A 13,507-nucleotide genomic window follows, 5' to 3' on the forward strand; every position below is an offset into this window, starting at 1 on the left:
ATTGACAAACTTCTCTGTGACTCTGTTCCTCATCTGTGGCATGGGATAGTAAATGGAACCCACCGCATGGGGGAGTTGTAAAGATTTAATGAGATCATAAAGAGCTCCTGACTTACAGCATGTGCTAAATGAAAAATAATTTTTTTTTTGAAGGAGAAAACTGAAATCACAAACGAATATTGCAATGGCAGAGAAGGAAAAAGGGACTAATGTTTATTTAGCCCTTGTTATCTACCAGGCCCTATTCTAGGTGATTTACATATGTATTACATCATTTATCTCTGAGAGAGATGTTACTTTTTCCATTTTACTGATAAGGAGACTGAGGCTCAAAGAGATTAAGTAACTTGCCAGAGGACACAGATCTGGTAACAGCACAGTGAGGTGAGATTCAGATTGCTGCATTCCAAAGCCCCAGTTCTTTTTCCACTATTCCATTACCTTCCAAGATGAGGAGTAGGACCTCATTTTCCTAACATGAAAATGGGTTGCATTTCAAAAATTCGTTTACAAGTTGGTTGTTTGGAGTTACTTTTCCATGGAGACAATGTTACATGGTTACATGCCCAGGCTTATCTGCAAAAGCTATAATGTAACTGAAATTCTGCACATTTGTGAACTGAAACTATTAAGGAAAAAAATGCATTTGCAGTTCTAGCTATAAGCAGAAAAGAAAAAATAAGGATGCATTTTAAATTCTGTGGAATGAGAAAAGCACGTTCGGTTAGAGGGCAGTGAGGGAGAAGATGGGGACTGTTTTTATTCTGGTGGGGCTCTGGGATACTTTCATGGTATTCACACATATTTCCTTTTAAAAAATAATTACATATGCAAGAGATAGGACAGGTGGTAGCGTTGACCTAATTTCTGTTGGCAATATTTAGCTTTCCGTTTTAAATATATTTACCCATTTTTTTTTTTTTGTAATGACATGTGGGAGCCCAGCTAGTCACCCTCATATAGTCATAGAGTATTAAAGTTTATAGATGTCATGCCTGTAATCCCAGCACTTTGGGAGGCCGAGGTAGGTGAATCATTTGAGGTCAGGAGTTCAAGACTAGCCTGGCCAACATGGTGAAACCCCGCCTCTACTAAAAATACAAAAATTAGCCAGGTGTGGTGGCGGGCACCTGTAGTCCCAGCTACTCAGGAGGCTGAGGCAGGAGAATCGCTTGAACCCGGGGGGCGGATGTTGCAGCCATTGCGCTCCAGCCTGGGTGACAGAGCGAGACTGTCTCAAAAAAAAAAAAAAAAAAAAAAAAATGAAGTTTATGGATGTGTTGAAGAAAGAATGAAGATAAAAAGAATGTTTTCCTGAGTGAATTGTATAAGAATTTGAAGGAATTGAGGAGCTAAAGAGCATGTGCGCACAGATATGAAAATGATAAAATTAAATTTTCATTTCATCTTAAATCTTCATCATTTTACTTCAGTTGGCATTTAATTTCTGAGCATATGCTATGTGCCAGTCACCATGTGTCATGGCTATGAGGGAAAAAAACAGTCACAGACCCTTAGTCACAAATTTGCAAAAGAATTTGCTTTGTACTTGAAGCATCTACTAGAGATTATATTCAGATCATCCAGTGATGTTTTCCTCTTTATCGGTATTTATGAATATGTAAAGGTTACTTAATTATAACTAGTGGGAATAAGACTGAGGGTTTTTTTGTTTGTTTTTGTTTTTTAAGACAGGATCTCCCCCTGTTGCCCAGGCCAGAGTGCAGTGGTGCAATCATAGCTTACTACAGCCTCGATCTTCTCAGCTCAAGTGATTCTCCTGGATCACCCTCCCAAGTAGCTAGGACTACAGGCAAGAGCCACCACACCTAGTTAATTTTTTATTTTTTTTATTTTTTGTAGAGACAGGGTCTTGCTATGTTGCCCAGGCTGGTCTCAAACTCCTGGCTTCAAGTGATCTTCCAGCCTTGGCTTCCCAAAATGCTGGAATTATAGGTGTGAGCCACTGCTCCCAGCCTTAAGTAATCTTTTTTTTTTTTTTTTTTTTGAGACAGGGTTTCGCTCTTGTCACCCAGGTTGGAGTGCAATGGCGTGATCTTGGCTCACTGCAACCTCTGCCTCCCGGGTTCAAGCAATTCTCCTGCCTCAGCCTCCCAAGTAGCTGGGATTACAAGCATCCACCACCATGCCCAACTAATTTTTGTATTTTTAATAGAGACGGGGTTTTACCACGTTGGCCAGGCTGGTCTCGAACTCCTGACCTCAGGTGATCCACTCACCTTGGCCTCCCAAAGTGCTGGGATTACAGGCGTGAGCTATGGCGCCTGGCAAGTAATCTTTTTAATAACTAAGAACACTGGAAAAACTAGAGGAGATTATTAGTAAAAGGTGTTCATTTTATTTTCCCATAATTATTGCTTGATTTCCTGTCACTAGTCAGGACTAAAAGGTGGGAGATGTGGGACCTTTGAGTTCTGTTACATAGCATTTGCTTATGTATGTTTGCAACTAAAATGGAAACTTTAGGCTGGGCACAGTGGCTCATGCCTGTAATCCCAGCATTTTGGGAGGCCCCTGGAGTAGTTGGGACTACAGCTAGGTGCCACCATGCCCAGCCGATTTTTGTATTTTGAGTAGAGATGGGGTTTCACCATGTTGGCTAGGTTGGTCTCAAACTCTTGGCCTCAAGTGATCCACCCACTTCGGCCTCCCAAAGTGCTGGGATTACAGGCGTGCCTCCATACAGAAGAATTTTTTTTTTTTTTGAGATGGAGTCTCGCTCTATCACCCAGGCTGGAGTGCAGTGGCGTGATCTCGGCTCACTGCAAGCTCCGCCTCCTGGGTTCATGCCATTCTCCTGCCTCAGCCTCCCTAGTAGCTGGGACTACAGGCGCCCACCATCATGCCCGGCTAATTTTTTGTATTTTTAGTAGAGACGGGGTTTCACTGTGTTAGCCAGGATGGTCTCGATCTTCTGACCTCATGATCCCCCTGCCTCAGCCTCCCAAAGTGCTGGGATTACAGGCGTGAGCCACTGCGCCTGGCCAGAAGAATCTTGAGTTGAGGGGGAGGATGAAGTGTTTGCACATTAGAAGCTTAGTCATGGTATCTTCATAAATGGGGATCTGGTGAGCAAGGTTGCTCTGCTAACATTTATGTAGCCTTAACTGACAGACTGAGTCTCATATTGGGTTAGAATAAACAGCTGCTGCCAAGGAAGCTTAACATTGGTTCTAAGGAAACTATGTGGCATCAGATAAGCTTGCTTGACATCAGAACTTGCCACTGACATGGTTCATCTGCTGCCTAGCCTATGTGATTGTGTTCTCATTGATGCACATTTAAATTAATATTTTGGGCAATTGGTTAAAATTTTGACCTTTAGGCCCTAGAGGTTTCTCATGACTTTATTTATGAAGAATATTGTTGATGCATTTTAGAATTTAATTTGTGTTTTTTTCTGATTATGAAGGCAATACATAGTTGATTTAAAAAAAATACTCTGGAAAAAGTATAGAAAAGGATTAAGAAGAAAATAAAAATCACCTGAAATTCTACTTCCCATGGTATGTTTGCTTCCAGTTATTTTTTCAATGTGGATATATATTTGGGAGAGAGTGGGATGTTTCCTTATTAGTGAAATAGCTGAGGCTTCAGTAAAATTTCACTTAACACTCATGATATTGAGATGTTTGCCTAATGCACTGTGCTAATTAAGGTTGTTTGTTTAATCAGGTGGTACAAATTCTGATGCCTTAGGAGCCAAATAGGCAATGAGTGAATCAGGCCAGTTATAAGCACTGGGGAGTGATGGCAACTGTGGTTAACTGGAAAATGCCGGCCCTAACTGAAGAAGTTACTACCATCTTCAACTTACTGTTGTCACATGGAAACAGGGGCTAATGTTACCAAATCTTCCTAATTGTCAAGAAAGTCCCAGAAGTCTGTTTCTTTTTAATGTGAAATTTCTCATGTTAAAAAATACTGTGCAGGTCAAACAAAATAGTCTGTGTGTTGCACTTGGCCCATACACTGGCATTTTTTGTCACTCCTGACATAAATGCTTCTCAATCTTTCTCATAGCTCTTACAAGAAGAGCACATTTATTAAAGAAAATGTTGGGAGAGGAGTTTATGCATAAGGAGTTTCTGAGAATGGCTTCAGGAACTTTTCCGTCTGAGAGGGTTGCTTAGTATAGAAATGATAAACTCAGTTACAGGAATCAGGTGGTGACATAAATGAGTAAAATGAATTGGGATTAAGATTATGAGTGTGGACATGGTACAAATGCGCTGTTTGGGACATTTGGGTTCCAGTAATGTTTTTCCTTGATGGAATGCAGATCCAAATTGCTGCCAGACCTTCTAAGATTTAAGAGATGTCAGAAATTTGGATCTTTGTGAAATTTCTTGATTTTCAACTCATTTATGCATAGTGTTCCATTATTGGAACGCTAAGCTTGTGGGAGTTATTTATATCCTACTGCTCAAGGTCATCGCCAAGGTCTGATTTTTCACACAAAAAAATTGCAACCTCTGGCACAAATGGGTTAAAAATACTATGTGGACCAAACAAAAACCATCCTTGCCCCAAATTCTACACAAAATCCACTAATTTGCAGCTCTTGGCCTAGATCACTGTTTCCTACATATGTCCTAGAAATCCTAATTCTGTCATATATTAATAGGTGCTAAGAAATAAGGAATTCTTGGTCACATGAATTTGGAAAATGATGGATTAAACAAAACTGAACACATTTCCTGACTGAAGGTTATCATAGATCCTCAATTATGCTAATGTGCCTTGTAAATTCCTAAGAAGATATAGCCCATTACCCCACAGTTACAGTTAGGTCACCATCTCCACTTGCTTCCCCCACCACCCCCCTTGTCTAGGGTAAGAGTGGCTTTCCTCCTGGTAAAGGTTAGTCTCTGTATCTCTCTCCAGATTCTTACCCTGTCTCTTCAGGGATCTGACTTCAGAAGAAATCTATTTCCTGCCTCTTGTCCTGTAGCCTATCAGTATGCTTGGTTTTCTCCAGTTTAAAAAAAATGACGACCTTTTCTTATACCATACACAAAAATTGACTCCAAATGGATCACAGACCTAACTATAAGAGCTAAAACTATAAAATTCTTAGAATAAAACATGGGAGTAAATCTTCATGATCTCAGGTTAGATGAAGCCTTCTTAAGTGTTACACCAAAAGCACAAGTAGCAAAAGACAAAACAAAACAACAGGAAAAAAGCACAAGCAACCAAAATCACAAACAACAAAAGAAGACAAGCTGGGCTGCAATCCCAGCACTTTGGGAGGCCCCGCAGGCAGATTACTTGAGCCCAGAAGTTCGAGATCAGCCTGGTCACCATGGTGAAACCCTGTCTCTACAAAAAATACTAAAAATTAGCCGAGTGTGGCCCGGCACGGTGGCTCATGCCTGTAATCCCAGCACTTTGGGAGGCCGAGGCGGGCGGATCACCTGTGGTCAGGAGTTCCAGACCAGCCTGACCAACGTGGAGAAACCCAGTCTCTGCTAAAAATACAAAATTAGCCAGGCGTGGTGGTGCGTGCCTGTAATCCCAGCTACTTGGGAGGCTGAGGCAGGAGAATCACTTGAACCTGGGAGGCAGAGGTTGCAGTGAACCAAGATCACGCCATTGCACTCCAACCTGGGCAACAAGAGCAAAACTCCATCTCAAAAAAAAAAAAAAAAAAAAAAAAAAAAGCCGGGTGTGGTTGTATACACCTGTACTTCCAGCTACTCAGGGGGCTGAGGTGGGAGGATCACCTGAGCCTGAAGAGGTAGAGGCTGTGGTGAGCTGTGATCATGCCACTGCACTCTAGTCTGGGCAACAGAGACTCTGTTTCAGAATAAAAAAAAAAAAAAAAAAAAGAAAAAGGAAAAGACAAGCTATATTTTAGTCTTAAATTGGCCTTTATCAAAATTAAAAGCTTGTGCTGCAAAGGACACTATCAAGAAAGGGAAAGACAACCCACAGACTGGGAAAAATATTTGCAAAAGATAAATAACTCAAAATATTGGCAAGGGGCCAGGCACAGTGGCTCATGCCTATAATCCCAGCACTTTGGGAGGCCGAAGCAGGCAGATTACCTGAGGTCAGGAGTTTGAGACCAGCCTGGCCAACATGATGAAACCCTGTCTCTACCAAAAAAATACAAAAATTAGCCAGGCATGGTGGCTCATGCCTGTAGTCCCAGCTACTTGGGAGGCTGAAGCAGGAGAATCGCTTGAACCCGGGAGGCGGAGGTTGCAGTGAGCCCAGATTGCACCACTGTACTCCGGCCTGGGTAACAAAGTAAGTCTCGGTCTCAAAAAAAAAAATATATATATATATATATATATTGGCAAGGTATCTGAATAGACATTTCTCAAAAGTAGATATATAAATGGTCAATACACCCATAAAAAGATGCTCAGCATCATTAGCCATCAGGTCAAAACCACAATGAGATACCGCTTCAGTAGGAGGGCTGTAATTAAAAAGATAATAACAAGTGTTGCCAGGGATATTGAGAAGTTGGAACCCTCTCATGTAGCTGCTGCGAATGTTAAATGGTTTAGCCTCTTTGGAAAATAGTCTGGCATTTCCTCAAATGGTTAAACATAGAGATACCATATGACCCAGCAATTGAATACCTAGGTTTATAACCAAGAGAAATGAAAACATGTTCATACAAAACCTTGTACACTAATGTTTATAGCAGCATTATTCATAATAGCCCAAAAATGAAAACAACTCAGGTGCCCATCAACTGATGAATGGACAAAATGTGATGTAACCATACAATGAAATATGATTTGGCAATAAAAAGAAATGAAGTACTGATACATAGCACAGATGAAAGAAGCTAGTCACTAAAGAGCACATCTTATGTGATTCTATTTATATCAGATATTTAGAATAAGTAAATCTGTAGAGAGAAAGTAGATTAGTGTTTACCTAAGATTAGGTGGTGGTGAGGAAGGGTTAGGGCTAAATGGGGGTGGTGTTGACTGCTAATAGTTACTAGGTCTCTTTCTGGAGTGATGAAAATGTTCACAAATCAATTGTCATGGTTGCACAACTCTGTGACTGTCTTAACGACACCATTAACCTCTCTGTGGCAGTTGACACTATTGACTGTTCCTGAAATTCTTCTGGCTTTTATGACAGAGTTCTATTGATCCCCCTGCCCCTATCTCTGATATTTTCTTTCCAGCTTTTTTCACCAGCTTGTTCTTCCACCAGCTACTTATCTGTTGGTGGTGTTGGGTCGTGATTTCATTCATTATCCATGGCTTTTAGAACGTCTGAGTTGCCTGTTACTTGTGAATCAATTTTTCTAGTCCCGGTAAGTGAACTGAGGAACCATCTTTTCAGTTGCTTATTGGACAACTCCCTCTGAATATCCCAGTGCTAATTACTTTCCCTCTCAGAGCTGGTTTTCTTCCTATGTTACCAATTGACCCAGTCACTTGAGCCAGGGGCTGGGAGCCATCCTAGATTTCTGTCTCACCCTCCACATGGAGTGTCATGTGGCTGCCTTTTTTACACCTGCCCTCTCATCTCCATTCACACTGCTGCTGCTTCTGCTACAGTTAATCTGTAGTTTATCTTTCACTAAGACTGTAAGCTCCATGAGATCTGGGGCCATGTGTGTTTTCTTCATCACTGTCTGTAATGCTTGGTACATTGCATGTTATGTAAGTAATATTTGTTGATTGAATAAATGAATTCACAAATGAACTTGTCTTCCGAGTTTTCTTCGCTCTGATCCATTCTTGCTGCTGAATTTTTCTGTTTGAAATGCAGACCTAACAATGTCTTTTACTTAGAATAATTAAATAATTCCCCATTGCTTAGAGGATAAGTCTATTGCATTGCATACAAGGCCCTCCATGATGTGGCCCCTTTCTGCTTTTCCAATTTCCTGTCCTCTCCACATCTCCTCTCTACCCAGTACCCCATTTTCCAGCTATGTTTCCTGAGCTGGCCATGCTTTCCCATATCTTGCCCTATTAACTAGAAAGCCCTCCTTTTTACCTTGAATTCCATTACTTCTGGAGAACTCTTATTCTGCCTTCCTAGAGTTTCTCTTCCTCTGTGAAACTTCCTGTACCTCACCTACGCAGAGCAGAAACTTGGTTGTAACTCTACTAGAGCATGCATTACACTGCATTGCCTTATTTGTTTAAGCATTTGTCAACGAACAACAAGGACTGAGTCTCACTTTTGTATCCCCATCACACAGTGACAGACACAGTGCCTCCCACATGGGAAGTACTCATTAAGTGCTTGATTAAATGAATAAGTTGGAAATCAGAGTAGATTAGAGAGTTTTAGTTTTTCTGGATGTGGCCTCTTAAACACTGAACTCTGGCTGGCCATCTGTGAATGATGTACAAAGGATATCAGTGAGGGGTGGATGGATCACAAGTTCATCACCACCCCAGAAAAACAATCAAAAGCATTGCTGATGATGGGTCACTTACATTATTATTATCCTTGTATGACTGAGGCCTGGTACTGGGCACAGCTGCAATCAGAATGGTTGTTCAGTATAATGGATTGATCAGGCTAACTGTTATGCCATGACATTGATTTGAGCCACAGTAAGTACAGGCAAATGGGTACACATTCTTAAGTCTGGTCACAATCAGTTGGTCACAACCTATTGTCTAAATACATTAAGAACATCTTCCTACCACATTTTTAATGTAATGTTCTTTAGTTACGACTTACATTGTACAAATAAGTAACACAAGTCTTCTCAGCTTTGTTTTGTCTTTCTGTTTTCTTGTACTTAGTCTAGCTAAGGGAGACATCTACATTAACATATTTTTTAGTCTAGGTAGTGACTTGAACCAGCCAACCTTTTTTTTCTTTCTTTTTTTTTTTTTGCTGGAAAGAAACCAAATCTCTCTACATTACCAAACCAAATCGAGTAGATTGTGATGAAAGGAGTAATAATAACAACAGCAGAAGACAAAAGGCCTCTCACATAGAATTTTGAACTAAAGTCACATATTGAACAAAGGATATTTAAATTAACTACTGAACAAAGTAAGAGCTCTTCAAAAGAAACAGAGCTCCCTGCCAAGCCCCCTAAAAATGCCCCCAGGCCTCTTATTCATTCACTACCATTATTTCAGTTTATATCTAAAGATGTTTTATTTCTTATCTCATTCTCTTCCCACCACCTAGTGGACACATAGTTGGCACTTACTGCTTGTTTATTGAATTGAATGGAATCTAGCCCCAAGAGTTAAAAGCTATTCTCTGAAGAAGAAAATAAAAGAGAAATAATTTTGTCAGTGAATAGAAATAACAAGTCTGAGTTTCTCTCGGCAATGGAATAAAGTTAGGAAGGGATAACACGTACAGTTGGCTCTCTGTATCTGTGGGTTCCACACTTCTGCATTTAGCCAACTGCGGATTGAAAATATTCAGAAAACAAGGATAGTTGCATCTGTGTTGAACATGTACAGATTTTTTCCTTGTCTTTATTCCCTAAACAATACAGTATAACAACTATGTACATAGCATTTATATTATATTAGGTATTATAAATAATCCAGAGATAATTTAAAGTATGTGGGAGGATGTGTGTAAGTTATATTCAAATACTATGCTGTTTTATATAAGAGACAAGCATCTGTGGGTTTTGGTATTTGAAGGGGGTCATGGAACCAATTCTCCATAGATACCAAGAGACATGACTATATTTATTATAAAGTTAGATTACTCCAAAAGGGTTGTTTTTAAATACTGACCCAGAGAAAGCTAATTAGACTATAACTAAGATCTGTTTGTTCTTTTCTCTGTTTTTGTTTTTGTTTTTTGTTTTTTTTAGACGGAGTTTTGCTTTTGTCGCCCAGGCTGGAGTGCCATGGCACGATCTCGGCTCACTGCAACCTCTGCCTCCCAGGTTCAAGTGATTCTCCTGTCTCACCCTCCCGAGTAGCTGGGATTACAGGCGCCCACCATCACGCCCGGCCAATTTTTATATATTTAGTAGAGACAGGGTTTCACCATGTTGGCCAGTCTGGTCTCAAACTTCTGATCTCAGGTGATCCACCCGCCTTGGCCTCCCAAAGTGCTGGATTACAGGCGTGAGCCACCGTGCCCAGCCACTCTGTTTTTTTTTAACCCTTTAATCCATAGGACTTTTTTCAGAAGGAATAAGATCTATTTTAAGGCATAAAAAAAATGAGGCATCAGACAGATGTGGTGGCATGCACCCGTATTCCCAGCTACTTGGGAGGCTGAGGTGGGAGGATTCCTTGACCCCAGCAGTTTGAGTCCAGCCTGGGCAATATAGCAAGACCCCATCTTAAAAAAAAAAAAGTAAAAAAGAAGCATTTGTTGATTCTTACTGACCTGTTTGCAAAGTTGTAGTCTACATTGGGAATCATATTTCTCCATACTAAGTTGACCTCGAAGAATAACATTTTCCCACCAGCTATGAAGATTCCTGTTAGTTAACAAAAGACATTTTGTGAATTAATCCCTTTCTTGTTTGTTCTACTTTTTTTCTTTTTCTTTTTTTTTTTTCTTTTGAGATGGAGTCTCGCTCTGTCACCCAGGCTGGAGTGCAGTGGCCCGATCTTGGCTCACTGCAAGCTCTGCCTCCCGGGTTCGCGCCATTCTCCTGCCTCAGCCTCCCGAGTAGCTGGGACTACAGGCGCCCGCCACCACGCCCGGCTAATTTTTTGTATTTTTAGTCGAGACGGGGTTTCACCGTGTTAGCCACGATGGTCTCCATCTCCTGACCTTGTGATCTACCCACCTCCTGACCTTGTGATCTACCCACTTACGCCTGGGATTACAGGCGTAAGCCACCACGGCTGACTGTTCTACTCTATTTTTATTTGGAAAAGATGGGTGCTATGGAAATTTTCTGTTTTGATGGTGACAGGAGAGTACAGGAAAATGCATTTTCTGTCATCAATGGGTTAATGGCTTAAAAATTAAAGATTTGTCTTTGGTTCTCCTAGACAGGCTTTGCCAGTTGTTCTCAAATAGGACATACCTTTCTGCTTCTGTAGATCTTTACAAAGTGGTTCTTTGGAAGTTCTCGACTTGTTATTTTGGTGATAGAACACTAAATTGTAAAGATCTAGAACAGAGGATGACAATCTTTGAATAAATGGGCAGGTCAAGGTAACATAATCCTCTCTGCCTTCACTTAGCATACAAAGTCCTGAACTAACTGAACTTTCCTTTCTAGCCTCATTTCCTCTGCTGAAGCCACACCAGCGTGTCTTTCTAGTCCTGGCCTCCTTGTACTCGCATATCTGACTGAACCTTCTTTGCCTGTGCTCTTCTCTTTGTTTGGGCTGTCTGATTCTTCTCTACTGGGCAGCTTCTCCTTTCCAGGCCTGGCTCCTTTTTTCTAAAAGACCACATAGGAAAGGAATAAATGAAGGTTATAGTAGCTGTGTGAAGAATGAATTGGAAGAGTCTGGAGCAACAAGACCAGTTTTAGGATACAGTGAGGGTCTCATGGATCTGTGCTGCCTGATATGGTAGCCACTAGCCGTAGGTGGCAATTAAAATGAAATAAAGGTAAAAATTCAGTTCTTCAGTTATACTGGCCACATTTCTTTGTTTCTTTTTCTTTTCTTTTCTTTTTTTTTTTTTTTTGAGACGGAGTCTCGCTCTGTCGCCTAGGCTGGAGTGCAGTGGTGCGATCTCAGTTCACTGCAACCTCCTCCTCCCAGGTTCAAGCAATTTTCCTGCCTCAGCCTCCCAAGTAGCTGGGATTACAGGTGCCTGCCACACCCCTGGCTAATTTTTGTATTTTTAGTAGAGACGGGGTTTCGCCATGTTGGCCAGGGTGGTCTCGAATTCCTGATATCAGGTGTTCCACCCGCCTTGACCTTCCAAAGTGCTGGGATTACAGGCATGAGCTATTGCACCTGGCCTATGCTGGGAACATTCCAAGTGGTCAATACTCACAGGTGGCTAATGGGTACTGTATTGGGCGGCACAGATTAAATAGAATATTTCCATCATAAAAGAAAATTATTTGGACAGCACTGCCAAAAATCAATTCCCCAAGAAAAAATGGCATTCATTCTATATAGTCATGTTTTATGTGTTGTACCTTAAAAACAGTGCCGTTCGTTGTCCCTAATCTAATTCTAGCCAGAGTGTATTGAGCAATCATGGATACTATTGCTTCAAGTATGAATGCAGCTTAGAATAACAAAATCACATTTAGTGTTTATCACTTAAGTATTCAAAAATAGCATTTAAATAAATGCCCTTGAATATATTTTTAATTATCCATTTATCTTTCCTTACCTACTCCTACTCTTACAAAGAGGCATCAATTAATTACATGCCATTCAGTTTTTAGTAATTACCTCTACTGAGGTCAGAATATATGCTATTTACAAAACTGTTTTAATGTTTTTGCCTGGTGTAGCCATGATTGCTTTATCTTTGGATAATAACTGTTTGCCATATATCAGCCTTCTAGCATTGCTACCTTTGAAGGCTTTTTATTTCATTGATTTAGAAGTGATTTTTTTTTTTATTTTTTCCTTTTTTTGAGACGGTGTTTTGCTCTTGTCACCCAGGCTGGAGTACAGTGGCGCGATCTTGGCTCACTGCAACCTCCGCCTCCCAGGTTCAAGCGATTCTCTTGCCTCAGCCTCCGGAGTAGCTGGGATTATAGGCATCCGCCACCACGCCCAGCTAATTTTTGTATTTTTAGTAGAGACAGGGTTTCGCCATGTTGGCCAGGCTGGTCGCGAACTCCTGACCTCAGGTGATCTGCTCTCCTCGGCCTCCCAAAGTGCTGGGATTTATAGGCATGAGCCACCACGCCCGGCCACGTGGTTTTTATTTCTTTACCTCAGTCTAGTCTTCATCCCCCACCCCACCCCACCCAGTCCAAGAGCAAGTCCTAATAATATTTCTTCCGTAAAAAGGTAACACAATTCTATTCTTTTCTCCATTTCTGTTTTCACTACTTAAGTAGTGAAACCTTAAGTCACTACTATCACTCTCCCGGCTGACTGCAGTAGCCTCCCTGCAATCATCTAGGAGAGTGATACTGGTTACCCTGCTCTCCCCTCACCACCTAAAAATAGGCAAAATGACCTTTTAAAAAGAAAATCAGGCCAGGCGTGGTGGCTCATGACTGTAATCCCAGCAGTTAGGTAGGCAAAGGCAGGAGGATCGCTTGAGCATGGGAGTTTGAGACCAGCCTGGGAAACATAGTGAGACCCCATCTCTACAAAATAAAAAAAAAAAATTAGCTAGGCGTGGTGTCTCATGCCTGGAGTCCTAGCTGCTCCGGACGGAGGATCACTTGAGCCCTGAATCACTTGAGCTATGATTGCACCACTGCACTCAAGTCTGGGATATGGGGCCAGATCATGTCTCTTAAAAAAGAAAAGAAAAGAAAAGAAAAGAAAAAGTCAGATTAATCTCTTGTTTAGAACTCCTGCCTCCTATTGTACTGATAAACGATTCCAAATATTTCAAGCTGGCCTAAAAGGCTCTTTATGATCTGGCCCTTGCCTTCTTA

The 13,507-nt window shown here is 41.1% G+C and overlaps 1 protein-coding gene and 1 long non-coding RNA gene across 3 annotated transcripts in view, besides 1 other annotated feature; both read left to right on the top strand.

Annotated features, from left to right (window-relative positions):
* Positions 1-13,507, top strand: part of VCL (vinculin) — a 123,248-nt gene that overhangs the window by 28,290 nt on the left and 81,451 nt on the right. The window lies entirely within an intron of this gene.
* Positions 2,210-7,710, top strand: LOC124902455 (uncharacterized). Its single transcript, XR_007062197.1, has 2 exons — positions 2,210-3,527; positions 3,697-7,710. It is a non-coding gene; the product is annotated as an uncharacterized LOC124902455 (long non-coding RNA).
* Positions 8,292-8,421: an enhancer, noted in NCBI's record as "active region_3588". NCBI's record gives its function as "activates an Ori minimal core promoter by ATAC-STARR-seq in GM12878 lymphoblastoid cells {active_cell/tissue: GM12878}" and the evidence as "EXISTENCE:reporter gene assay evidence [ECO:0000049][PMID:35858748]".

The sequence above is a fragment of the Homo sapiens genome, chromosome 10, assembly GCF_000001405.40.
Source record: "Homo sapiens chromosome 10, GRCh38.p14 Primary Assembly".
Taxonomy (NCBI): domain Eukaryota; kingdom Metazoa; phylum Chordata; class Mammalia; order Primates; family Hominidae; genus Homo; species Homo sapiens.